General features: G+C 49.9%; 1 protein-coding gene across 2 annotated transcripts in view, besides 6 other annotated features; it reads left to right on the plus strand.

The window, feature by feature from the left end:
* BCR (BCR activator of RhoGEF and GTPase) overlaps window positions 1-24,634 on the plus strand; it is a 137,529-nt gene that overhangs the window by 27,512 nt on the left and 85,383 nt on the right. The window lies entirely within an intron of this gene.
* Window positions 9,548-10,337: an enhancer, noted in NCBI's record as "H3K27ac-H3K4me1 hESC enhancer chr22:23559755-23560544 (GRCh37/hg19 assembly coordinates)". NCBI's record gives its function as "activates a minimal SCP1, AML or CMV promoter by ChIP-STARR-seq in naive H9 embryonic stem cells {active_cell/tissue: H9 hESC(naive)}" and the evidence as "EXISTENCE:reporter gene assay evidence [ECO:0000049][PMID:30033119]".
* Window positions 9,678-24,634: part of a mitotic recombination region, noted in NCBI's record as "BCR-ABL minor-breakpoint cluster region recombines with the ABL minor-breakpoint recombination sub-region within the ABL breakpoint recombination region, producing the e1a2 transcript", that runs on past the window's edge. NCBI's record gives the evidence for it as "EXISTENCE:nucleotide sequencing assay evidence [ECO:0000219][PMID:20703256]".
* Window positions 12,275-12,354: an enhancer, noted in NCBI's record as "active region_18750". NCBI's record gives its function as "activates an Ori minimal core promoter by ATAC-STARR-seq in GM12878 lymphoblastoid cells {active_cell/tissue: GM12878}" and the evidence as "EXISTENCE:reporter gene assay evidence [ECO:0000049][PMID:35858748]".
* Window positions 12,442-12,736: an enhancer, noted in NCBI's record as "tiled region #5876; K562 Activating DNase matched - State 25:Art". NCBI's record gives its function as "activates a minimal TATA promoter and a strong SV40 promoter by Sharpr-MPRA in K562 cells {active_cell/tissue: K562}" and the evidence as "EXISTENCE:reporter gene assay evidence [ECO:0000049][PMID:27701403]".
* Window positions 13,817-14,018: a silencer, noted in NCBI's record as "fragment chr22:23564024-23564225 (GRCh37/hg19 assembly coordinates)". NCBI's record gives its function as "represses an EF-1alpha promoter that drives an FKBP-Casp9 reporter gene in an ReSE screen in K562 erythroleukemia cells {active_cell/tissue: K562}" and the evidence as "EXISTENCE:reporter gene assay evidence [ECO:0000049][PMID:32094911]".
* Window positions 21,341-22,075: an enhancer, noted in NCBI's record as "H3K27ac hESC enhancer chr22:23571548-23572282 (GRCh37/hg19 assembly coordinates)". NCBI's record gives its function as "activates a minimal SCP1, AML or CMV promoter by ChIP-STARR-seq in naive H9 embryonic stem cells {active_cell/tissue: H9 hESC(naive)}" and the evidence as "EXISTENCE:reporter gene assay evidence [ECO:0000049][PMID:30033119]".

The raw sequence follows: 24,634 nt of genomic DNA on the forward strand, positions 1-24,634 counted from the left end.
CTTTGGCTCATTGGCTCCTGGTCTCCTGTTGCCGAGCACCTGTCTAGACAGAATGATGTTTTGTGTCTGTGCAAAACAGACACGCTGGAGCTTCGTGTTTGCAGAGCTTCATGCTTCAGTTGGTACCCCGTGAGGCTTGTGTGGGCAGCTGTTCAGAAACCTCAATTGGGCCCTCTGGCATTTGTGAGAACCTTGGGCTGGAACCCACCCGGCTGGCAGTGCAGGAGAGCAGCCCTTCCCCCTCGAGGGCCTTGTCCCTTTCACCTGTGCCGTGTCTGTGTGACACTGAAGCTCTGTCTGGTGCGGGTTGAAGTTTGTGACCCCCACTTACCAGGCCCAGAGCATGCATGGTGGACTGTGGGAGATAGTCATTGGGATTTTTCATTTGATTTTATGTTTTTTTTTTAATCAAGGTAAAATACATGTAACATTTACCATCTTAACCATTTAAAAATAACACAGTTCAGTGGTGTTGAGTATGTTCATGTTGTTCAGCCATCACCATCTGTCACTGAATGTTTTTGTCTTGTACAACAAAAACTCTGGACTCAGCCAGGCACTGTGGCTCATGCCTATAATCCCAGCACTTTGGGAGTTCGAGGCGGGCAGACCACCTGAAGTCAGGAGTTCAAGACCAGTCTGGCCAACGTGGTGAAACCCCGTCTCTACTAAAAATACAAAATAATTAGCCAGGCATGGTAGCGGGCGCCTGTAATCCCAGCTCCTCAGGAGGCTGAGGCAGGAGAATCGCTTGAACCCGGGAGGCGGAGGTTGCAGCGAACTGAGATCGGTCCACTGCACTCCAGCCTGGGCAACAGAGCGAGACTCCGTCTAAAAACAAACCAAAAAAAGCTTCTGGACTCATTAAATATAGGCTTTCCATTTCCCCTCCCCGCGGCAACCACTGTTCTACTTTCTGTATGGATTTGGCTAATCGAGGTACTTCATATGAGTGGATTCATATAGCCTTCGTCTTTTGTTCCTGGCTTATTTCACGTAACGTCATGTCCTCAAGGTTCATCGGTGTTGTAGCATGCATTAGAATCTCCTTTCTTTTAGCCGGGCGCGGTGGCTCACGCCTGTAATCCCAGCACTTTGGTAGGCCGAAGTGTGGATCACCTGAGCTCAGGAGTTCAAGACCACCCAGGACAACATCATGAGACCCCATCTCTACTAAAAATACAAAAAAATGAACCGGGTGTGGTGGCACACGCCTCTAGTCTCAGCTACTTGGGAGGCTGAGGCAGGAGAATCGCTTGAGCCCCAGAGGTGAAGGTTGCAGTGAGCCGAGATCACGCCACTGCACTCCAGCTTGGGCTACAGAGTGAGACTCTGTCTCAAAAAAAAAGAATCTCTTTTCTTTTTAAAGCTGAATAATATTCCATTGGTAGACACACATTTTGTTTATCCATCTCTCTGCCAGTAGACACTTGGGTTGCCTCCACCTTTTGGCTGTTGTGAATAATGTTGGCAGGAACATGGGTGTACAAATTTCGTGGCTTGTTTGCTAATTTATTTATTCATTTTTATTTTATTTTTTTGAGATGGAGTCTCGCTCTGTTGCCCAGGCTGGAGTGCAGTGGCGCGATCTCGGCTCACTGCAACCTCCCCTGCCTCCCGGGTTCACACCATTCTGCCTCAGCCTCCCAAGTAGCTGGGACTACAGGCACCCGCCACCACACCTGGCTAATTTTTTGTATTTTCAGTAGAAACGGGGTTTCACCGTGTTAGCCAGGATGGTCTTGATCTCCTGACCTTGTGATCCGCGCCCAGCCTATTTTTTAATTTTTTTAGAGATGGGGTCTTGCTGTGTTGCCCAGGCTGGTCTCAACCTCCTGGCCTCAGGCCATCCTCCTGCCTTAGCCCCCTGAGTAACTGTGATTACAGACATGCACCACTGCGCCCCTACTCAATGGTATTTTTCACATATCAGATTTTTACATTATTTGCCCCTCACCCACTTAACAGCTATTTGTTTTTCAACTAACTTCCTTTACTGTTTCAACAAATTTCCAATTATAGTAATTTTTACCCTAGAAAAAAGAAATTATGGGTTGAAGGTAAAACAAAAATACATATCTTGTGAATTATCTGTTCTTTTTCAAACATCTTAAAGACTTAGGCTGGGCACAGCAGCTCACACCTGTATTACCGGGAGGCTGAGGCAGGAGGATTGCTTGAGCCCAGGAATTTGAGAGCAGCCTGGGCAACAAAGTGAGACCCCATCTCTACAAAAAAATTTGAAAATTAGCTGGGCATGGTGGCATGGACCTATAGTCCTGGCCGCTTGAGAAACTGAGGTGGGAAGATAGCTTGAGCCCGGGAGGTCGAGGTTGCGGTGAGCCACAATTGTGCCACTGTACTCCAGCCTGGGTGACAGAGTAAGACCCTGTCTCAAAAAGAAAAAAAAAAAAAAAATTAAAGGCTTGAAAGATGTCATGATGTCATTTGATGGTTGTATATGTGCACGTATGTGCATTCAGGTGTAATTTACAGACAATGAAAGTCACTCTTGGTATACTGTTCTGTGAGGTGTGACAGCGTTCTGTAGCCATTACCTTCATCAAGATACACAGCAGGCCTATCACCCCAGAAACTTGCATTACCCCTTGTTCCTTGTAGGCATTTCTCCTACTTGCAGCCCACGACACCACTGATGTGCTTTCTCCCCTTACAGTTTAGCACTTTTCCGAATGTCATATAAATAGAATTGTACAGTGTGTAACCTTTTGGCTCTGGCTTTTTTCACTTTGATAATGCATTTGAAATTCATGCAAGTTGTGTGTACCAATAGGGCATTCCTTTTTATTACCGAGGATTATTTCATCCCACAGATGGGTCAGTACTGTTCTTCCCCTTTCTATCCCACTAACATCTTTATTCAGATGTAACATACATACCATAGAGTTCACCCGTTTAAAATGGACCATTCAGTGGTGGTTAGTATTATCTCAGAGTTGTGCAGTCATCATCACTGTCTGATTGCAGATCATTTTCATCACCCCCAAAAGAAACCCTATACCTATTAGCACTCTCTCCCCATCCCCTTCTTCTGTTAGTCCTGGCAACCACCAGTCTGCTTTCTGCCTCTGTGGATTTGTCTTTTCTGGGCTTTTCATAAATGGGATCACATGGTACATAGCTTTTGGTGACAGAGTTCTTAGAGCTTCTTTTTTTATTTGTTTGTTTTTTGTTGAGACGGAGTCTTGCTCTGTCGCCCAGGCTGGAGTGCAGTGGCGCGATCTCGGCTCACTGCAAGCTCCGCCTCCCGGGTTCACACCATTCTCCTGCCTCAGCCTCCCAAGTAGCTGGGACTACAGGCGCCCGCCACTACACCCAGCTAATTTTTTTGTATTTTTAGTAAAGACAGGGTTTCACTGTGTTAGCCAGGATGGTCTCGATTTCCTGACCTCGTGATCCGCCTGCCTTGGCCTCCTAAAGTGCTGGGATTACAGACGTGACCACTGCGCCCGGCCCTTTTTTTTGAGACAGTCTCACTCTGTTGCCCAGGCTGGAGTGCAGTGGTACAATCTTGGCTCACTGCAGCCTCCGCCTGCCGGGTTCAAGGATTCTCCTGCCTCAGCCTCCCGAGCAGCTGGGATTACAGGCGCCCACCACCACGCCTGGCTAGTTTTTTTTGTTTTGTTTTGTTTTGTTTTTTGTATTTTTAATAGAGACAGGGTTTCATCATGTTGTCCAGGCTGGTTGTAAACTCCTAACCTCAGGTGATCCACCCGCCTTGGCCTCCCAGAGTGCTGGGATTATCTTAGAGCTTCTCAATAGAAGTCCTATCTTCCAGGCCACATCTCACCCTCCAGGGGTAGGGGCTGGTGGAGCTGTTCTCACTCAGTTTGTCCTCAGTTCCTTCTTGAGCCTGGACCCTTCCCTCTAGATTTGGGGCTGCTCCTCTCAGAGTGCCCCAGAACAAAACCCCCTCCCTGTTCCCACTTCCCACTGTCTGCAGGACTCCCCTACCCCATAACCAGGGTCCTGCCAGCCCTACCCTCAGCCTCCCATAAGGGTCTGAAGTGGCAGGTGGATGGGAAACTGCACTCTCTGACCTCTGCAAGGGGACTGCTGCTTTCCCATGAGCTTCTCCTCTTTCCGTTGCTGGTTTCTTCTTTGTTATCTTTGCTGCTGGAGTGGCCAGACCCTGGGAAGCGGGCTGGAGAGAGGAGAGAAGCCATCGAGCCACATGGACCCCTACAGCCCGGAATCTGAGCTGTGGTAGGATTGGCTGCGATTGGGATTGGCAGACACACTGGGTTTGTACAGGAGGGGACCCTGAAGGATGGGCTGTGGTCAAAGTGGGATCCCTTCACTGTCCATAGTCCTTGGATCTGAAACTGCTGACAGGTGCCCCTGGGAACTGCTGTGGTATTTGGAGTCTATAGAGACACCCATTGCTCAGGACCCCAGGGCCTTAACAGGGAGTACACTGGCTTCTGGGAAGCTTGATGGAGTTGTTGCTGCATAGGTGCAGAAAATCCCAGCAGTGGAGTAAGGCCTGAAGTAAGCCCCCACTGGGCTCTGTGGGGCCTGGGGCAGCCTCCTCTGTTGCAGGGCCGCCAGCATCTCCAGCAGAAGTGCAGTGCTTGCTCTGGGGACACAGGGGCCTTTTGGAATGAGCATGTGGACTTGGCTTATGGATTGTGCCTACCCCAGAGCGTTGCTGTGTCTCTCAACACACACAGCTTCCATGGGCTGCTCACTCCAATTCTGATGGAGAGGGCATTTATGACTCTGTCCGTTGGTTTGTTTTCTCACTGAAGAGGAACATAGATGCACCTGCTCTCTGGGCAAGAGATGTGGCAGCTGCAAGCTGCACACCCTGTTCTGAATATTGCCCAGACCAGAATATGAATTACTTGGTCATAAATCAGTGTCTTGTCTGCAGAAAACTTGGCAATGTGAGGGACGGCAGCTTTAACTTGATTCCTGGGAGGCTGCCGGCCTCAAAAAGGACAAGGACTGGCAATCAGATGGGCATTCTCTCTAATTTGGGAGGCTTTCGGGCTTCCTCACGGAGTGCTGCTCCTGGGGACGTACCACAAGAACCTCCCTTGTCTAGTTTTGTTCTGACGCTTGGGCTCATTCACCTGACTGTCTCCTTGCTTGTCTGGCTCTCAGGAAAGCCTTCCCGGAGAGGATGTGGCTGACCCCTGCAGCCATCTCTCCACAGACAATCATGGCCCTGAGCTTGGCTGTCCTTGGTTGGGTACATCCAAGGCTCTGCCTGCCAGGGTAGGCACTGGCCAGGCTGTGGGATGGCAGCGTTGCTGACTTGTGCTCCTGAGTCCTGGGGGCCCTGAGTGAGCCTCCGTGCAGGAGTCGGGCTGGGCTGAGAGGTGTGGAGAGTCGTTCCCTTAATGGATGGTCAGGCACAGCAGCTATGGGCTCAAATTCCGGAGGGACGCTGAGCCAGGTCCCAGCCTGTGCACTGAGCATGTCATTCACTTTGAGATCCCCTCTAGGGTAAGGCACACCGTGAGTGGATGTGCCACTAAGAAGGAGGCAGCAGGCTGAGCGTGGTGGCTCACGCCTGTAATCCCAGCTCTTTGGGAGGCCAAGGTGGGAAGATTGCTTGAAGCCAGAAGTTTGAGACCAGCCTGGGCAAGAAAGTGAGAGCTCGTCTCTCCAAAAAAACGTAAAAATATTAATTGCTGGGGCGTGGTGGTGCATGCCTGTAGTCCTAGCTACTCAGGAGGCTGAGGCAGGAGAATCGCCTGAATGACCCAGGAGTTCAAGGCTATAGTGAGCTATGATTGCACCACTGTACTTCAGCCTGGGCAACAGAGCAAGACCCCTGTCTCTTAAAAAAAAAAAAAAAGAAGAAGAAGGAGGAGGAAGACAGTACTCCCAGTTATCATTGCGAGAGGCAGAGATGCGAGATTCCACTTTGAATTATGTTGAAATTTGGGGAAAATGCATGCCTGATAATGGGTAAAATACAGTAAGTTTCCTCATCTGTGAAATAGAAATCCCACTAGTCGTTGACTCAGGAACTTGCTGTGAAGATTAGAGATGAGGTGTGCAAAAAAAAGCACCTAGCGTGGCTGCTGGCATGCCCTGAGTGCTTAATAACATTTGTTATTCTCATTTTATTGTTGTTATCGTAGTTGCTGTTATGACAGATAGCGGGAGAGGATGTTGGCTGCTTTATCAGCTGGCTGGATGTTTGGTTTGTTTTTTTTTTTTTGTGAGGGTTAAAGTGGGAGATGGGAAGCTGTCTTTTTCCATCAGAGTTGGAAAGGCCCGGAGTGTTCATTTCTCAGCAATAATTGTTTTCAAATGGTTTTATTTTAGGGATAGATCCCTTCTTTGCCAATGGTATTTCAGATGACCCCCCAGTATATGAAAAAGATGAAAGAGGAGCCACAGGTCCTGAAGGCTGCCCAGCTCAGCCTCCCCACCCAACCTGGGCTCTGAGGACCTGGCTTGGGAGGTGCTGCTCTTGGCAGCCCCAGCCTTCCACCTCTGTGGCCTGTGCCATGGCCAGGAGGACCTGCATTTCCTTCGGACTGTCTCTCTGCTCAGGCGGATTATTTCGTGCTTCGTGTGCCCTCCCAGGGTAGGGACGGGGAAGCTGTGAGGATGCTCTGTGGGGATCGGCTCCCTGTGTTGTCCATGTCTTCTTTTAGGTGGAGTTGGCTAGGCAGGGAACCTGGCACCATTTCCTTCTCAGAGCAGAGAAACAGAGTCGGCGTTTGTGAGCGTGCATTGTCCAAACCTGCATTTGGAAGGGGTCAAAGTAGGCTGGGCTTTGTTTTTACTTTTTCTTTTTAAATTATGATGAACTATACATAATGTAAAATTTACCACTTCAGCCATTTTTAAGCATACGATCGATGCATGACATTAACTACATTGATGGTGTTGGGCAACCATCACCACTATCCATCTCCAGAACTTTTTCATCTTCCCCAGACTGAAGGTCTGTACCCATTTATAGCCAGTAAACAACTCTCTACTCCCTCCTCCCTCAGCCCCTGGCCACCACCATCCTACTCTATGTCTATGAATTTGACTACTCTAGAGACCTCATATGAGTGGAGTCCTACAGCGTTTGTCCATTTGCATCTGGTTTATTTCACTTAACATAATGTCCTCAAGTTTCATCCTTGCCTTGGCATGTATTAGAATTTTCTTCCTTTTTAAGGCTGAATAATATTCCATTATATGTCTGCACCGCATTTTGCTTATGCATCCATTGGTGGATGGACACCTGGCTTGTTTCTGCCTTTTGTAAAGCATGCTGCTGTGAACACGGGTATACATGCTTTTACTCTTGACCCCTTGCAAACAGGTCTGTCTTGCACATGTGCCCCAGGTACCACTCAGCCATCTGCTCATTAATGGGAGAGGGGAGAACCTTCCCGGTTCTCTTGAGTAACTACCATGATCACAGCTTTCTGGAATGTAGCAGGTTACTTGATAAAGAGGGCGGGAATTCTTAGAAAGGAGGGTTTCTGGCTGCAAGCCCCATACCTGTTTTCTGCCACCTTCTCTGCCAAGGGAGCTTGAGCCAGCCATTTCTGGGAAGTGGTGAGCCTCAGATATGGTTCAGGGAAGATGGGAAGTGTTACAGTGTAATTCCATCTGCTGATGGGGACAGGCACAAACCTGGTGGCTTGTTGTCCTTGGAACAGTCAGTGATGAAGGCAGAGTGGCGGTAGGACAGGGACCCCGCTTAGTTATGACACTGCCTCCTAAGTGGAACTAAGTGGAAGGTCTAGTGGGGCCTTCTTCGTGGGTTGGGACAGTGGTTCTGCACCCCCACTCAGCAGCTCAGGAACTGAAGTTAGAGCCTGCCTTCAGGGGATGGGCATGTGTACAAGGGATAGGGGACCAGTTAATCCAGGAGTTAGATGGTGACTGAGACTCCAGGAATTTCCCCTTTCCTGTAAACATGGGTCATTTTCTAGAATTACCACGTTCCCTTTAATTTTGCCATGTTTAGGAAATCTGGCTGAGCTGGTAATTACCAAGTCTAACTGAGAAATGTCTTATATGTAACCTTCTGTTTCCCTTGAGTGTTTCGGAGGAAGCTGTGGGCACGTTTTATGGATAGGTGCTCCGAGTTCTTTCCGCTTTGGTCCAGTCTGAGTGGCTCTGATAAGCGTTGGCAACACCACCGATTTTTGTGGGGCCTGGCTTCAGAACATGAATGTCTGTGTTTCTGCAAAACCAAGTGTACTCACTGCCTCCTTTTAAAATCATGCTACAAGGATGTCTTTCACTTTGAATTCTGCGCTTACATTGTTCAAGAGGCATCACCATGTTTATAACCTCAGACGCAGTAATTCCACCCTAGGGCATTTTCCTAAGGAAAATTGCTTCCCCCTTTTCTTTTATGGTAGTATTATGTGAAATTATTCATTGTATTCATAACAGTGGAAAGCTGGAAACAAACTGAGCATCCTGTAATACAAAAGGGGTTCCATTAGCTTGGTAGACGATTCTGTCATCATCCGATGGTAAGGATGAAAATGAATTAGCAACGTGGAACATTGTCATAAGTGGAAAAAGTGAGATGCCCAAAGTGTGATGATTTGTATCAGTCATCTCTTGTTCGGTAACAAACCATCCCAAAGTTTAGAGGCTTAAAACAATGCGATTTAATCGCAGTGCCATCTGGCTTGGTATGAGGTGGTTCTGCTGTCACACAGGCTTGGTCATGTGACTGTATTCAGTTTGTGGTTTGACTGCCGCTGGCATCCGAGGTGGCCTAACCGTTGTAGCTAAGGACTTGGTAGGGACACCGGAAGGCTGAGACCTCTCTCTCCTTGTGGTCCGTCATTGTTCTGCAGTGAAGCCTGAGTTGCTTCTCATGGAGGCTAGGTTCCAAGAGCAAAGGTGGATGCTGCAGGGCTTCCTGAGGCCTGGGCTATGGAACTTCTCAGCTGAACTTCCACCGGATTCTGTTGGTACAGTGTGTCGCAAGTCTTGCCCAGATCTAAGCGGGGGTAGAAAGCTGGACTCTACCTCTTGATGGGAGGAGCAGCAGTGTCATGTGGACACACGGCGTGGACACAAGGCATGATTCTCAGGGGCTCTGGTGATTGCTCCCACCACAGGATTTTAGTTACACAGTCACAGGACAAGGACTGGAAGTGATTGTGGGAAAATGATCCTAGACCATTGGTAGAGGAGGTGAGGTTGTGGATGACTTTTTTAGATTTTTGCTGTTGCCATGTTATATAGTAGGTTCAAAGTAAAAAATCCTTAGCATGTTATCCACTGGACTCCTAGTTCAAGATTGCTGGGGTGTCAGATCCACTGTTAGGTCCCATAAACTTGCAGGCTCGGCCAGTGCAGAACCTCTGCAGCCTGGCCTTCGGGAAGAAGACATCCAGAGATAGTGACCACACCATGGGGTACCTTCAAGCTCTGGTGCTCTCTCTTCGCCTTGCTGACCTTGATGGAGTGGATAGGCCTTGGGTTCAACATGAATTGACCCAGGCCATGGGGGCATTGGTTGGCCTCCTCTGTAAGGTAGGCGTGGGGCTCAGCCTGCAAGAGCTGACCATACTTATGTAGGATTAGGGGGCATCGGTGGGAACCCTGGTGTCCAAGGACAGTATTGTCTGGTTGACTGAAGTTAGGGAAGTGGGTGGGGAACATGGAATTGTCAATCCTTCAGGCTCCTTTTGAAGGTCATTGTTTTCCTAAACAGATGGTTATTTGGACTCTTACAAGTTCTCTGTAAGTTTGTAAATGTTTGAAAATAAATAGTGGAATAAATAAATACATGGGAAACCGCACTTTGCCTACGTGTGGGATGCTCGTGAGACCTGGAGGGAGGGCACTCCCATGAAGGCGGGGATCCCGGGTAGGCGGTGATCTGCAGCTGTGGCCGCCTGCTCGGACAGGAAAGGCCTTGACGTCCAGATCCTGCTGGTGGGAGAGCCGTGGCCCAGGCTCCTACATTGCCTTGGGGAGGAGAGTCAGGCCCTGCAGGGAAGGGTTGTGAACCTGCTCTGGGCAAATGGGCCTGGCTCCTGGGAAACTTCGGGCCTGCAGTAACCCTACTCTGACCAGAGGAATCCTTCCCCTGTCGCATTGGCATCCCTCCCCTCACTGTTCTCTTCATTCTGGACCCCCTTGTCATCACGATGCCAGTGCTGTCCCTTTGGTGTGGGGTTTGTGCTCTGACCTGACCCTCAGGCCCTGCCAGTGCCCTGGCTTCCAGGCAGATCTGGGCAGGCAGGTCTGAGCCCCCGGAGCTGGGTAAGCATCTGGGGCATGTGAGGATTGCAGGAGGTGACCCGGGACAGTGCCTCACGCCCAGGGTGACCAGAAACTGTGTTCCCTTCCCTAACCCACCGGGTTTAAACTTTTTACTTGCTAGCCATAGAGCTCTTAATCAGACAATATCCAGGGGAACCCCCATTATGTAAGGCAGGTAAAGCTGGTGGAAGCTCTCCCACCCACTAGTTGTCCCTGCTCAGCCTTGGCACGGGGCCACTGTGGGACCGGAGAGCTGGGAAGCCACCACCTCAGTCCCTGCCAGTCTCTGGTCTGATGGTGAGGAGGGGTCTGGCCTGCTCAGTGGCAGGGTGCGGAGGTGAGGCTGGTGGCTGTTCTTCAGCTGTGGGACTCGTGTGGGGACAAGCTGAACAGTGTGCTGATCTCTGATCACCACTCAAGCCACAAGTGACTGGACAGGCATGGACCTGTGTCCTCATAGTGAGGACCCATGGGGCTTCACCCAGGACAGCCTGGTTCGCCTGCCCTCCGATGCTGGTGGAGGGGAGGCAAGGCAGAGGGGACTCCTGTAAAGGGCTGTTTTTTTCTGTCCTGGAATGAGCACATTCTGAGGGTGAGTGGCTGTCAGCAGTTAGGAAAAATTGCCTGTTGACTTGTTTCATTAAGAGGCCCCTTGCCGAGGGTGAGGTCGCAGCCCGGCCCTGCTCAGGGAGGAAGCGGTGTTTACAGAGCGGCCAGCTGGTGCCGGGTGAGGAGGTGGCTGATCCCTCGTTATGGAGCTGAGAAGGCCTGCGCTTCCAGCCCATTCCTGCCATGCCGCTGCCCTAATGGCTGTGACAATGGATGGATGGATGGACGGAGGGCCAGGCCAACCAGGCAGTGAAAACAGGAAACCTAATCTTTTAAAAATAATCCAGGGGGAGGGGAGAAAGTGAAGCAGCAAAGCCCTTAAGCCGACAGATGGCCCTGGTGGGGTGTGTCTTCCAACTGGGTAGGTGCTTCTCAAGGCTGAAAATTCCAGTGAGTCGGTGAAAGCTGAGCGTGCCCACCAAAGACACTTGAATGGGCGGCTGGCATTTTCAAGCTCTGTTCCTTATGTTAGACGATGTTGTTTTAGCACAAAGCCTCCCCCCGGATCCCAAGCCTCTCCCCACCATGGCTCCAGAGTCATCCCTATGTGGAACCCAGCGGGGCAGTCTGACCTTGTCCCTTTGGCTGTGACCCTGTCCCACCCTTGGCCTCTGTCCCTGGTTCTTGCCCAGGTCCACTATTGCATGGCCAGATTCATCCTCACAGGGACCTGACCGCTGTTCCCTTCTCACAAACCTCTGAGTTGCCCATGGGCTGAAGGTCAAGGTCACGCATCTCAGGCAGGCAGGTGTGCAGGACCCTCCACGCTCGTGGGCACTGGCGGTGCGGGAGCACAGCTCCCTCCTCTCTGCTAGCTCTGAGAGTCCCCCGCCACCCCTCTGTGTGCTTCCTGCACCCCCTCTCCTTGCCTAGAATGTCCCCCACAATGTCTCCACTTGCCCAGCTCTGTCCTCTGTGTCCAGCTTTGAGGCTACTTTCTGCAGTCACCACTATTATCCCACCCCATGTAGTTCTCTGTCCCCGACCTGCATGTAACCTGTTTCCCTCCTCCGGCCGCTCTCAGCCGCTCCTTCATGCCTCCTTCCTGGGCTCCCTTTGGTACTTGTGTGTGCACCGCCTTCTCGCCTCCAAGTCTGCAGTTCCTGGAGCATTGAGTCATCCTGTTACCATTGCTTCTGACTCGAAGGACACGGCCCCTTGGGGCTGGCTGGTGTCATGTGTGGCTGCACAGAGGGGAGGGGCTGTTCTGCCACCTGCCCTTTGAGGCTGTGTGGGCACGGTTCCCTCTAGAGCTCCATGTCTAGCAGAGCATGCGGGGGTCCTGCTGTGCCCCCACTCCCATAGTGCTTGAACCACTTCACCCCTTGCATGGGGACCAACAGGATCTACCTCCCTCTGTCGAATGTACTTCTGAAAGGAGGAAGGTTACACTGAAGTTTCACCTACCGTCCATGGGATTTTGACCCTGCTGTAGTGACAGCTGCATGTTTGGTTCTAGGGGAGGAGGGGTGAATGACTTATCTTGGAGAAGCCAGAGCCAGGTGTCAGGGAATGGCCTCTGTGTCTGCCACCTCCTGCTGCCTCTCTGCCTGGGTCATTTGGTTCAGTGGCTATAACTGTCTTGGAGCAGCATTTGCTTCCAGGTTGGGTTCAGGTATGAAGTGCTGAAAACATGGGAATCCCTGAGCCCAGCCCCACCCAGGCTTGGTCTGCTAGGGGAGGTGGAAGCAGGGCTTCTGAGGCCCTGAGGCTGCCTGGGGAGTGCGTTTCTTCTCCACCCACTTGCAAGCTCAGCTCACTTCCTCTTACTGTATACTTGGTGTTTCATTCACACTCCTTGCAGCATGCTTCTGGGATATGATGAAAATCAGCTGTGGGTGTTGATTTCGGAGCTGGGCAACGATCCTCTCTGGACCCGCATTCCCATCTGTAAGATGGGGGTAGTAACCTCCACCCTCACTGCTTCCTGGAATTGTTGATGCATCAGAGAGAGCAGCCAGTTTGCACTGTGGGCTTCCAGGGAGATTTATTTCATGCCATGGTTCCCCTTTTGGATAAGGGGCTAGATTTGCTTTCTTCATCAGATTGTCCCCGGGGACACACACAGGAGTTGCTCTCACGTCGTTGCCTCTTGGTATCTTTGAAGCCTGTCTGTTAGAACCCGCCTCTTTGATGGTAGGGCAGGATTTGGAGAGGTGATGGCCTCTTTGGGTTGAATTTCTCACTCTAATGGGCTCACAGTACCTTCTGATTACCTCCTGGTTCAGCTTCCTTGACAACAAACTAGAATTGCTTCAGATGCAATACTTCATTCTTCCTAGTGCATGAGTAATTCATATCCACTATTTGCTCCCTCTTTTACAAATTGGAGGATGGCGATGCAGATGGAAGATGACCTGCTCATGCATCAGGCCGAGACTTCAGGCTTCCGAGGCACATGTTTGAGGTTGAGACTCCCTAGGGAGAGTGGAGTCACCTTTGCTTTGCAGAGGAGCCATGGGGGACCATGTCTCAGCACCTCTGAAAGGTTTTCTGCCCCATCCAGTCTGCTGCTTCTCTCCCCTCCCTCCTTCACCCTGTTCCCCTTCATCAGGGGTGTAAATGATGGTCTTCCTGTCTTCCCATGCACCTCCCTTAGGACCAGAGCAGGTGGGAGATGTCTTCACAGGAGGGTTCCAGGATGATAGGTTTGGAGCAAAGGGCTGGGGGCTTCTGGGGAGCCCCATTCCTGCACCTCCATGCTGAATGAAGAGGCCACACGAGGATGCTCACACTGCTCAGTGCTTCTTAGAGAAAGCTGCTGGCTCTGATTAGGTCTGGTAGGGGGCAGGGTCCTTATTTCTCAGGACTCAAGACAGATCCTCAATCAATGGCAAGAGTCATTTTTGTTTTCCCGCCAGGCTCACTAGAGTTTCTGTCTCTTCCCACTTTTCTTTGTGGGACAGCTTTCGGGAGGGTGGGGTTGTCTTTGTTATGAGAAGTGACAGCCAGATGGACTCAGTGGCTCACACCTGTAATCCCAGCACTTTGCGGGGCCGAGGCAGGCAGAATCTGAGGTCAGGAGTTCGAGACCAGCCTGGCTAACATGTTGAAACCCTGTTTTTACTGAAAAGACAAAAAATTAGCTGGGCGTGGTGGCAGGCGCCTGTAATTCCAGCTACTTGGGAGGCTGAGGCAGGAGAATCACTTGAACCCAGGAGGCGGAGGTTGCAGTGAGCTGAGATCATGCCACTGCACTCCAGCTTGGGCAACAGAGTGAGACTCTGTCTCAAAAAACAAAAAAAAGAGAGAGAAGTGATAGCCCTCCCCGTCTTCTCACCTGTCACTCCTCTTGGTCTCCCTGTGGAGCAAGTTTCCTGCAGTCACTATGTGCTTTGTTCACTTCTACATCCACAGTGCCTAAAACAATGCCAGCACGTAGTAGGTGCTCAGTTAATGCTTGCAGAGTGAACAGGTGACACACCTGCCTGGCGCGTCTTGGGCCCCTTATTAGGCACAGTAAGGCATAGAAAACTGTCTGATTCCGGCCGAGTTTCCAGGCTAAGTGGGAAGGTGGAACACAGCATATGAAGATTAAAATGAGAAGTAAAGTGATAGTTCACAGTATGTTGGTGGGAAAAGGTTGATACGATTGTCAGATAAATTGCACAAGTGCTAAGTGCTGAGAAAGTTCAGAGCAGGGGAAGTGGTTCCCGAGGAAGGAGGCAGAGGAGTGTAGATTTTGTAGAGAAGGCTAAGAGAGGGTGGGATGTGGCAAAGGGCGAAGGGTAGAAGGAGACATGACCTGGGAGAGGGGAGCGTGGCAGGGGCCCATGGGCTTCAGGGCTGTGACCAACAGCATGCTGGTGAACAGACCAGACGTGGGCTATGTTGTCTGGGCCTGTGAAGCTGAGTTCAAGAGCCCAAGCCTTCCTCCCTCATGCCCATGCTGTTGGAACCTTGAGGTGGTTACCTGGGCAGAATTCCTGTCCTGGTCTCTGGGCAGCATCTCTCCTGCTTCTGATAAAGACTAACAAGGTGTCTTAGTCTGTTCAGGCTGCCATAACAAAATGCCAGGCTGGGCTGTTTATAAACAAGAGAGATTTAGTGCGCACAGTTCTGGATTTGGGGAAGTTTGAGATCAAGGCACCTACAGATTACATGTTAGATAAGGGCTCCCTGCTTCATAGATGGCATCTTCCTGCTGTTTTTCATGTGGCAGAAGGGCCAAAGAAGCTCTCTTGGGCTTCTTATTGTAAAGGCATTAATTTCATTCATGAGGGTTCCACCCTTACGACCTCATCACCTCCCAGCAGCCCCACCTCTTAGTATTATCACATTGGGGGTTAGACTTTAACATAAGAGCTTTGGTGGGGGGTACAGTATTAAGTCCATAGCACAAGGGGTGACACCTTGGAGTGGGTGGAGGGTGACCACCTAGCAGTGTGACAAGAACTCCACTAAGGGAATTGGGGTGTGAGTGTGAGCATGTGTGAGTATTTGTATGTGCACACTTGTGTGTGTACATGCATATCTCCAAGTGTCCATGTATGGCTGTGTGAGTGCATGTGCCTGTGTGTGGCCCATTGGGGGACAGGAGCAGGGGCCTTGAGGCTGGGCTTTGGGCTTTGTGTACATTTCTTAGCATCTTGTAGATGCGGATGCTGACTCCCTCCTATGGTGCCTCTCAAGATGAAATGAGAGCATATCCAAAGCCCTGTGTGCACAGTCGCTCCCTTCTTCCCTCTTCTCCTGGTATCAGCCCCCCTATTCTGGCTGGCTGAGCCCTAGGCTGCCGGTGCAGGGGGTACTCAGGGAGGAGGGCTCAGGCAGGCAGCAGAGGCCTGGAGGGCCTGGCTCTGTGGGATCTGTGACCTTCTCCACTCCAGTTGGCAAGGGTCCAGGTGAGTCTCCCACCCTCCCAGTGCACAGCGAGATTTCAGGTTTTGTTTCTAGACCCTGATTGCCATGTGGTTTTCACACCGCCTCTCCTCCTGCCATTGACAGTGGGGGGCTTTGATTGCTGTCCCCCCTGTAATGGGAACACTTTGCTGACCTTTTCCTTCCTTTCCCCGCTAAATGATTCCTGGCCAAAGCCCTGCCTCCCCATGGGGAGCCGCCTCTTCCTGCCTTTCCCAAAGGCACAGGCCCTGATGCCCAGGACCCCGTGTAGGACACACAGGGACAGACAGGAGTGCCCTTATCTCACCCGCTGGTTTGGAGGGACAGTTTATCTCTCTTTTCCACATGGTCTAAAGGAAGCTGGTGCTGAAATGGCAGAGACAGGGACTGACTCCACAACAGGAAGACAGGCTCGGGCGCAGATCTCTCGACTGTGGCCGCCACACAGTGGTCACTGCTGTTGTCCTGGGCCACCTCTCTGATCCCCAGGGCTCTCCTGTCCCAAGTGGCTGCCTGAATTGGTTTTTTGCACTGGCATTTATACCTTTACTTGGTTAATGATTCTTAGAGTTCTTTATGGACTGTAGGGGGAGGACCGAGGTCCAGGTGGTGGTGATGGCTGCTTTCTAACTGGCAGTCCTGGGCAGTGCCTTGAGGGGAGGCATTTCTTCTAAAGCTCAGCTCTCACTTGTGCCTCCAGGAGAGTCAAACTGCCGCCTTGCTCTGAGCCATCTCAAAGTGAGGTGAGCCACATTCTCTCAGCAGGGTGGTGGGTTGGCAGATGACTTGAAGGAAGAGCCCACTCCCTGCTTACCCACTCTCGTTTTAATACGCCAAGTCTGCCCAGAGACGCTGGCCTCCTCAAAGGAGGAAAGACACCCTCCAAAACCTGCTGAGAGGCCGGGGGCTGTAGCTCACGCCTGTAATCCCAACACTTTGGGAGGCCAAGGTGGGCGGATCACTTGAGGTCAGGAGTTCCAGACCAGCCTGGCCCACACAGTGAAACCCTGTCTCTACTAAGAATACAAAAATCAGCCAGGCATGGTGGCACACGCCTGTGATCCCAGCTACTTGGGAGGCTGAGTCAGGATAATCGCTTGAACCCAGAAGGTAGAGGTTGCAGTAAGCCGAGATCACGCCACTGCACTCCATCCTGGGCGACAGAGCAAGACTCCATCCCCCCCAAAAAAACAAAACCTGGACAGAGTGGCCCCCTGCAGGCCCCCCGCTTCTTGGGGCTGGAGCAAGTGTTCTTATAGATGTCTCTGGTCGTCTTGGCCACTGGCTCGGAGACAGCCACCGAGACCCGGCATTTGGAGCAGCTGGCTGGGATGCTGCAGGGAGGGGTGTCCAAGCAGGAGGCAGCCAAGCCTGCCTGGAGCAGGATAAGATGAGCTCCCCTCTGAGACTCAGTATTTTCTGTTCAATGAAAGGAACAGTCCAGTATTTGAGACAGGAGAACCGGAATTGACTTGACTGGTCTGTGGTGCTTTTTTTTTTTTTTTCCTGTGCCTTGATTCTTCCATTTAAATACAGAGGACACCTGACCCTAAGGCGCATGGACCAGAGACATCATCTGAACCCAGAGTAGCGTGCATGGTGATTATTTTGAGATTTCCTCTCTGTCCCCATCTGGGCTCATTTTCACTGGATGGACCCCACCATGCTTCTTAGACCCTGCGGCAGGCTGGCCAGCCCAGGTGGAGGGCATGCGCTTTGCCAAAGGCGAGACCGCTGGCTGGAGACTGGACTGCGGGGCCATCCTCCAGGCTCTTGCACGGGGACCTGGAGGATGTGGCCCAAGCTCAGTCTCCTTCAGTCTGCATTGGTGGCTAATCAGGACACGGGTATGGGGGAAATCCCTGTAGGTCTGGAGGTGGCTGGGATGGCCCAGGGCTTGTTTCTCACCCTTTACCTCTAGTTTATATCCCACTGACACCGAGGTTTATTCGCAATGCACTTCAGCAGATAGGGTGATGGGGTAGAATCACAGAGCTGAGGAGTCCACGGTAAAGAATTCCAGGTCCCTGTGCTTCTCCTGCATCCCAGCTCTTCTGTCATTGGAAGGCAGTCATCCAAGACTCCTCCCTTTTCTGGCCTTTGCTGTCAGGGAGCCTGGGGGCCAGTTCACTATTCATTTCGCACAGTCAGTGCATCCCAGGGCCTGAAACACGCTTTGAGCCTTCATTTTTGTTTTCTTCCCAGTGGCCTTATTTTTACACTGTTTGATTTCTTAAGGCTGCTTTGGATCCTTTTAAAAGTAGGCGAGTGAAAAGCTACACAAACAAACTCCTGGGCTTGGCACCCTCCTGTGCCCACATCCGGCGCCCTTTCTTTGGGACCTGCCGGAGCCTGGGTCCCCTGGCAGGGTGGGGCAGGATAGGGTGGGGTGTTGCCTGAGAAATGGTGCAAACCTTCTTGCACTCCGTAAATGATTCATTTCCTTCAAATGTCCTATGCTGTTTTCCAGCAGAATCTCCATTATGTATGAATCAAGATCCTGGCTGACATTTTCTGCCTTGGCTGTTGTGAGCTTTCCCGTCAGAAATATCCTTCCCATGGGGCCTGAAGTAATTATTTTATATTTATTGGCATTAAGTGTATGAGAGAGAGAGAGAGAGAGAGAGTGTGTGTGTGTGTGTGTGTGTGTGTGTCAGAAGTGGTGTATCAGCTGCCACATAGTAAGAGAGCAAAGGATCTTCTTTTGTCTTATGGTGTTTTACCTGTGCTGATTGGTTCTTGGCAGCCTTTAAATGCCTAGGCAGAGAGGAAGAGAGAGGTTCCTAAGCTTCATGGTGAATTTCTAAGTCTGTGTTGACTGCAGGAAATGTATGAGGAAAGGATGGTGGTTGAGGCCTCTCCCTCACATTTAGGCCAGGGGTTGGCAAATTGCAGCTTAGTCCTGTCTGCTGCCTGTTTTTGTAAATAAAATTTTATTGGAACACAGCTTGCTCATTGGCTTATGTATAACATTTGGCTGCTTTCATGCTATGATGACAAGGTTGAGTAGTTGAGACAGATGCCATGTGGCTTGCAAAGCTGAAGATATTCATTAGCTGGCTCTTTCCAGGAAAAGTTTGACCCCTGCTTTAGGATAAAACAGAGAAATGGAGAGACATGGAATAGCAGAGTATCTTTTCAACTAGGTTCAATATGAATGAACAGGTCCCCTCAGTTGCACCTGAAAGGGGCCAGAAGTCCTATAGGTTTGGGTTTGGGGGAGATTGAAGTTAGACTTGCTTGGTTCAGAGACCAGGCCAGGATCGAGCATTTGCCATTGGTGACCTGGAGGTGTCTGGAGCAGGATCCTTTTAAATAGGCAAGCTGCTTGCTGGGAACACAGTTCACCTTAAGCTTTAAAAAAAATTCCTTCAAAGCCAAAAACCATGCAAATATGGAGCTGCCTGACAAGCCGAATGATTGATAGGGTAGAAAATAGGGTCTGTCATAAAATATTTGAGGAGGTGGATTTTTACAGCAGGGAGAAGCAGGCTGACAAGTGCCACTTGTTAATGGTGACTACCACCTTCCGTACCTACTGTGTGCCAGGCATAGCAATAGACACTTTGTTATTGTGTTCCGTCTAGAAACAACCCTGCTAAGTAGCTCCCAGTATTCCCCAGTTACCAGTGGAGGCTCCAAAGATATATCTTTTGTGTGAATTGCACAGCCCACGATCAGGGAGGAAGCCATCCCCTGTGGTCCAGCCCTCTGCACAGGTAATGGGGGAATTAGCTGGAATTGCAGCCATCCTGTAGGACATAAGGAAGAACATCTTGACTGTAAGCATGGTTAAACACTGGGATGAGCTGTCAGGGAAGCGTGAGAGATCCCCATCTGGGAGGAGCTTTGGAAAGGAGAAACATTTGTAAGTCTATTTTCAGCTTTCAGCTGCATGGTGACACAGGGCATTGGCCTTGATGGCCTCTAGGAGATCTTGTGACCTTTCTGATTTCAGCATTCTCTCTCCTGTCACATCAGACCCTTTGCTGGTTTAGATCACAATAGTACTGCCAGTGCTGCACCCTTTTAGAACTTCTAAGGCCATGAGTTATTGGAGATTCAGTTTCCAGGGTGGTTCTTGAACCTAAGAAATCTTCTAGAAGCCTGGGTCATGTTGTGAGGTCCTTGTGCCTGTTGGGTCGTGGTTCTGTCTGCCTCAGGTTACTGTTGGCCCCAGGGCTCTTTTTCCTGCAGGCCTTAGTTAGCACCATGAATGGTTAGGGGTATGGGGGTCAGGGTGAGTGGTCACCAGTGGGTTTCAAGGGATTGGCCTATTTCATCTAAGTTGCCAAACTTATGTGCACAGAGTTGTTCGCAGTATTTCCCTAGCATCTTCTTAATGTGTGTGGGATCAGTAGTGATATCCCCTCTTTCATTTCTGATTTTGGTCATTTGTGCCTTTCTTTTTTTGTTTGTTAGTCTGCTAGAAGTCTGTTACTTCTTTTTGTTGGGTTTACTTTGTTCATCTTTTAAAAAAAATTTTAGAGACCTTTCCTCTTTTCTGATATAAGCATTTGATGCTGTAAATTTGCCTCCAAGCACTGCTTTAGCTGCATCCTACAAATTTTTATATATTGCATTTTTATTTTCAGTCATTCCAAACCAGTTTCTAATTTTCCTCGAGACTTCCTTTTTCATCTGTGGATCATTTAGTAGTGTTTAATAGTAATGTTTCATTTCTAAGTATTTGGAGGTTTTTCCAGGTGTCATTCTGTTACTGATTTTTAGTCAAAAATAAATGTATTAGTTTCCTATTGCAGCTGCAATAAATTGCCACAAACTTAGTGACTTCAAACAACAAAACATACTACCTTATAGTTCTGGCCAGAAGCTTAAAAGAGGCCTTATAGGGCTAAGTCTTAGTTTTCCTTCATCTGAGAAGGTCTTTATTTTGCCTTCATTCCTGAAGGATATTTTCATTGGATATAACATTCTGGGTTGACAGTTCCTTTCTTTTAGGACTTTAAGATGTTTCATCCTCTTCTGGCCTCTATAGTTTCTGATGGGAAATCTACAGTTACGTGAATCCTTATTCTCCTGTATGTAATATGTTGTTTTTCTCTGACTGCTTTCAAGACTTTTTTCTTTAACTTTGGTTTTCTGTGCTTTTATTATGATATGTCTGGCTGTAGTTTTCTTTCTTTATCCTGTTTGGGGTTCACTGCATTTCTCGGGTCTGTAAATTTATGTTCTTCCCCTAATTTGGGAAGTGTTCAGCTATTGTATTTTCCGATACTGTTTTCTGCTTCCATCTCTCCTCTCTTTCTGGGACACCTGGGACATGAAATTAGACATCAACATCTTTTGATGTTGTTCCATAGATGCTTGAGGTTTTATTCCATTTTTCTCCATTTTTGTTTTCTCTCTCTTATTTAGATTGGATAATTTCTATTGATCTATCTTTAAGTTCACTGACTCCATTGTCATCTCCATTCTGCTGTTGAACCCCTCCAGGTAATTGTTTATTTTTTGGTTCTAAAATTCCTATTTGGTTCTTTTTTATAGCTTCTATTTTTTTTGGCTGAGAAGGCCTGTCTTTTTATTTGTTTCAAGAGTCTTTGTCCTTTCTTCTTAGAGCATGGTTATAATAGCTGCTTTAAAGTCTTAGTCTGATAATTCAAACATTTGGGTCATCTTGGGGTTGATGTTAGTTGATTGCCTTTTCCTTTCACAGTTTATGTTGCTTAGTTCTCTGTCAAGTAATTTTGGGTTATATCCTGGACATCTTGAGTGTAATATTATGAGACTCCGGACCCTGTTTAAATGTTCTGAAAATGTTGACTGATTTTTTTTTTTTTAAACAGGCAGTCAACCCAGTTAGATTCAGATGGCATATCCTGGCTCACTTTCTCAGCTCTGTGGTTCCGGTATCCACCCTGCTGTTGACCACTGAGGGATCAGTTTGAAACTGGGCAGTGATCTGTGCTGTGCTGATTCTAAGTGTTTTCACACATGTGCAGTTTAGGGGTGAGCCCAGGGCTTCTTATGAAGATTTAAAGGATCCCTTCTCCAGCTCCCTCTTCTCCATGATCTTCCCTATACTCTCTACTTCCCCATGTCCCCCCTTTCAGGTGTTCTGATTAGAAGGCAGTTCCCCCCTGAGGGTCCACTGTTGCTGTGCTGGTGAAGGGGGCAGGGGCTTCACCTATTTGGTGGCGCTTGGTTAGTGTAGAGTGGAAAGAGTCCACGGGTCTCCACCCCAGGGAGGCCGCTGCTTGCATCTGTGGGGAGAGGAATGGACACGTTGTTTGTGCTGGGGAAAGGTGGATAAAGCCAAAAGAGTTCAATCTACAGGATTTCTCCTTCCTGGGCTTTTGGTTAGAGAGAGCAAGCTTTTCTGTTTGGTTCTTTTTTTTTTTTCCTCTTGTCTGTGCCTGTTGGTAGTTTCAAGCTACTCTAGTGCCCATGCTGGGAGGCAAAATTCCAAAAACTGGAAAACCAGAAAAATCACTGCCAAGGTGTCCTTAAAGTCCTGCAATCTCTGCTCAGTCCTCCTGCCCTTATCTACCTTTTTGAGTCCCATGATAGAGGTTTCATGCAGAATTTGTACCTGTGGATAGTGGGAAAGGCTGTAGTGTGCTTTTTCCATCTTGCCTGGAATTGGAAGTTCCAACTTCTACATTTAGACGTCCTTCTCTCTGTGTGTGGTGATGTTCCCTGGGATAGACCACTACTGCCCTTAGACAGCATTCTGAGGGTGGTGGCCCATACTGATCACCTCAGCCCACCCAGTAACTTTCCTGCGGCCCCTCCCAAGACCCCCGCCCCAACAGGGCTAAGCTGATACACACACTGCGGATGCAGGCCTGCCTGCTGGGCCTTCCTGGTGTTTGTTTTTTCCAGGCAAAGCACCTCTCTCTGCCTCCTGCTGGTTTATTCAGCAGTGTCCCAGGGTTTGCTCATTGTCTGCTTTGCTTCAGACCCTTCTATCAAATTCCATTGTCTCTGTCTTAATGGTCTTTGCAGGGTAGGCATGGCCATCTGCATGTTCACTGAAGGGCCTGCCTGCATTTCCAGGGAGAGAAAGCCTTCAGGCCACTGGTGCATAAAGATCTTTGGAAATGTCCAGAAGATCCCAAACATTGCCTGTCCTGCATGCCAGGCCTCACTTGCCACCAGCCTGCTCCCCAGCCGCACATCCAGCTGTCATTTCCTAGAGAACCCATCCCACGCAGTTGTTTTGGACACATAGCGTTCCTTCAGGGAATGTGGCCCCGGGGCCACAGGTGGAGTAGAGGGCACAGTATCCCGAACCATCTAACGGGGCCCGACTCACCCTCACCATGCACCAGGCCAGTTATGGTTTCTTTCTGTGTCTTATTTCCCCCTCCATCAAATGAGAGTTATTGTAGAAACCTTATAGTGCTGTGTTGGGATTAGCAGTAAACAGTTTGGCATGTGGTAGATGCTCGGGAAATGGAAGCTGCCCTTTTTTCCTAATGGGAAAGAAGGGATTTTGTTTTTGAGACAATTCCCTTCCTCTGCTGCTGCATAGGGACACCTGGGTGCCTTTCTAAAATTAGACCAGGGCATGGTGGCTTGCTCGTAATCCCAGTGTTTTGAGAGGCCAAGGCGGGAAGATCACTTGAGGCCAGGAGTTTGAGACCAGCCTGGGCAACCTAGTGAGACTCCGTCTCTATAAAAAAATAAAATTAGCTGGATGTGGTAGTGCACGCCTGTAGTCCCAGCTATTCAGGAGGCTGAGTCAGGAAGATTGCTTGAGCCCCAGGAGTTTGAGGCAATGGTGAGCCATGTTCATGCCACTGCACTCCAGCCTAGCCAACAGAGCAAGACCCCGTCTCATAAAATAAAATAAAATAAAATAAAATAAAATAAAATAAAATAAATAAAATACCAACAGCCTGTGCTGGCTGGAGCCATGGTGTTAAAAGGCCCATGGACTTGGGCCATGCCTGAGCTGGCTGTGCTCTGCCTGCCACTTAGGCTGCCCCTCCCTGACCCAGCTTGTGTGGAGGAGGCATGGAATCCTACAGGAATGTGAAGTTCATCCTTCCCTGGATACTTGGGCACCATCTGGCCAGGCTCATGGAGCAAATGGGCCTGTGAGTTATGTCCCCACCCGTGCCTACGCCCAACCTTTATGCCCCGTTTTTAGTGGGAGAATTTTGTTTGGAGCTGCAGGTGTTGGGGGGTGGCACGTCTCAGGCTTTGGGGTCTTCCTGTTCTCTTTCTTGGCCCTGCTCCACTCCTTGGTTCCCCTGGCCCTGTCTTGCCTGCCTGTTAACTTTGGGTACCCTCAGCCTGTCCCAAGGCAGCTCATCCCTCAGGCCCTGCCCTGTCTTGTCTCTCCAGCCTCCCAGCCCAGGGGCTTGCTCTCCATGTAGTAACTAATACCTTAGTGTGATCCTCTAATTTTCTGTTGCTTTCTTGCTTCCATGGTTGTTGGAAGCCTGGAGACCCAGTGTTTGGCCAAGGACAGGGCCTGCTGGTTTTAGAGCTCCTGGCCCAGTAGGGATGATAGGACCCAGGACCCCAAGTGCTCTAGGCAGGCACTGTTCTGGGTGCTGTAAAGCACGGTGCCTAGCACCTCACAGGGACTCGGGGTGTCCTGGCTGACCAGCCGAATCCACTTTTTATTGACAAGAAGCCTGGGTCCCAGAGACATTAAGTAACGTGCTAAGGTCACCCACCTGGGCAGTGGTAGGGCTGGGTTTGAACCAAGGTCTGCACTGCCCAGCTCATGAATTCTGCTGCTTGGGAGCCAGCAGCACTACTGGCACAAGGGTAGGGGGACCTCAGGCCTGTCAGAGAGGGTGCCTGGCTCTTTGGGAGTGGGGGGTGCACCAGAGTGGGTTGGAGACAGGACCCAGAGCACCACCCTTTACCTGACCAGCATCTTGGTGGGGTTCCCCACCTGGAAAGGCAGGACCCTGGGGTCCAACAGAGCCTATTGCAGATCCAGGTTCTGGCCCAGCTGGGATGCTCACTG

Source organism: Homo sapiens, chromosome 22 (genome assembly GCF_000001405.40).
Source record: "Homo sapiens chromosome 22, GRCh38.p14 Primary Assembly".
In the NCBI taxonomy this organism is placed as follows: Eukaryota; Metazoa; Chordata; class Mammalia; order Primates; family Hominidae; genus Homo; species Homo sapiens.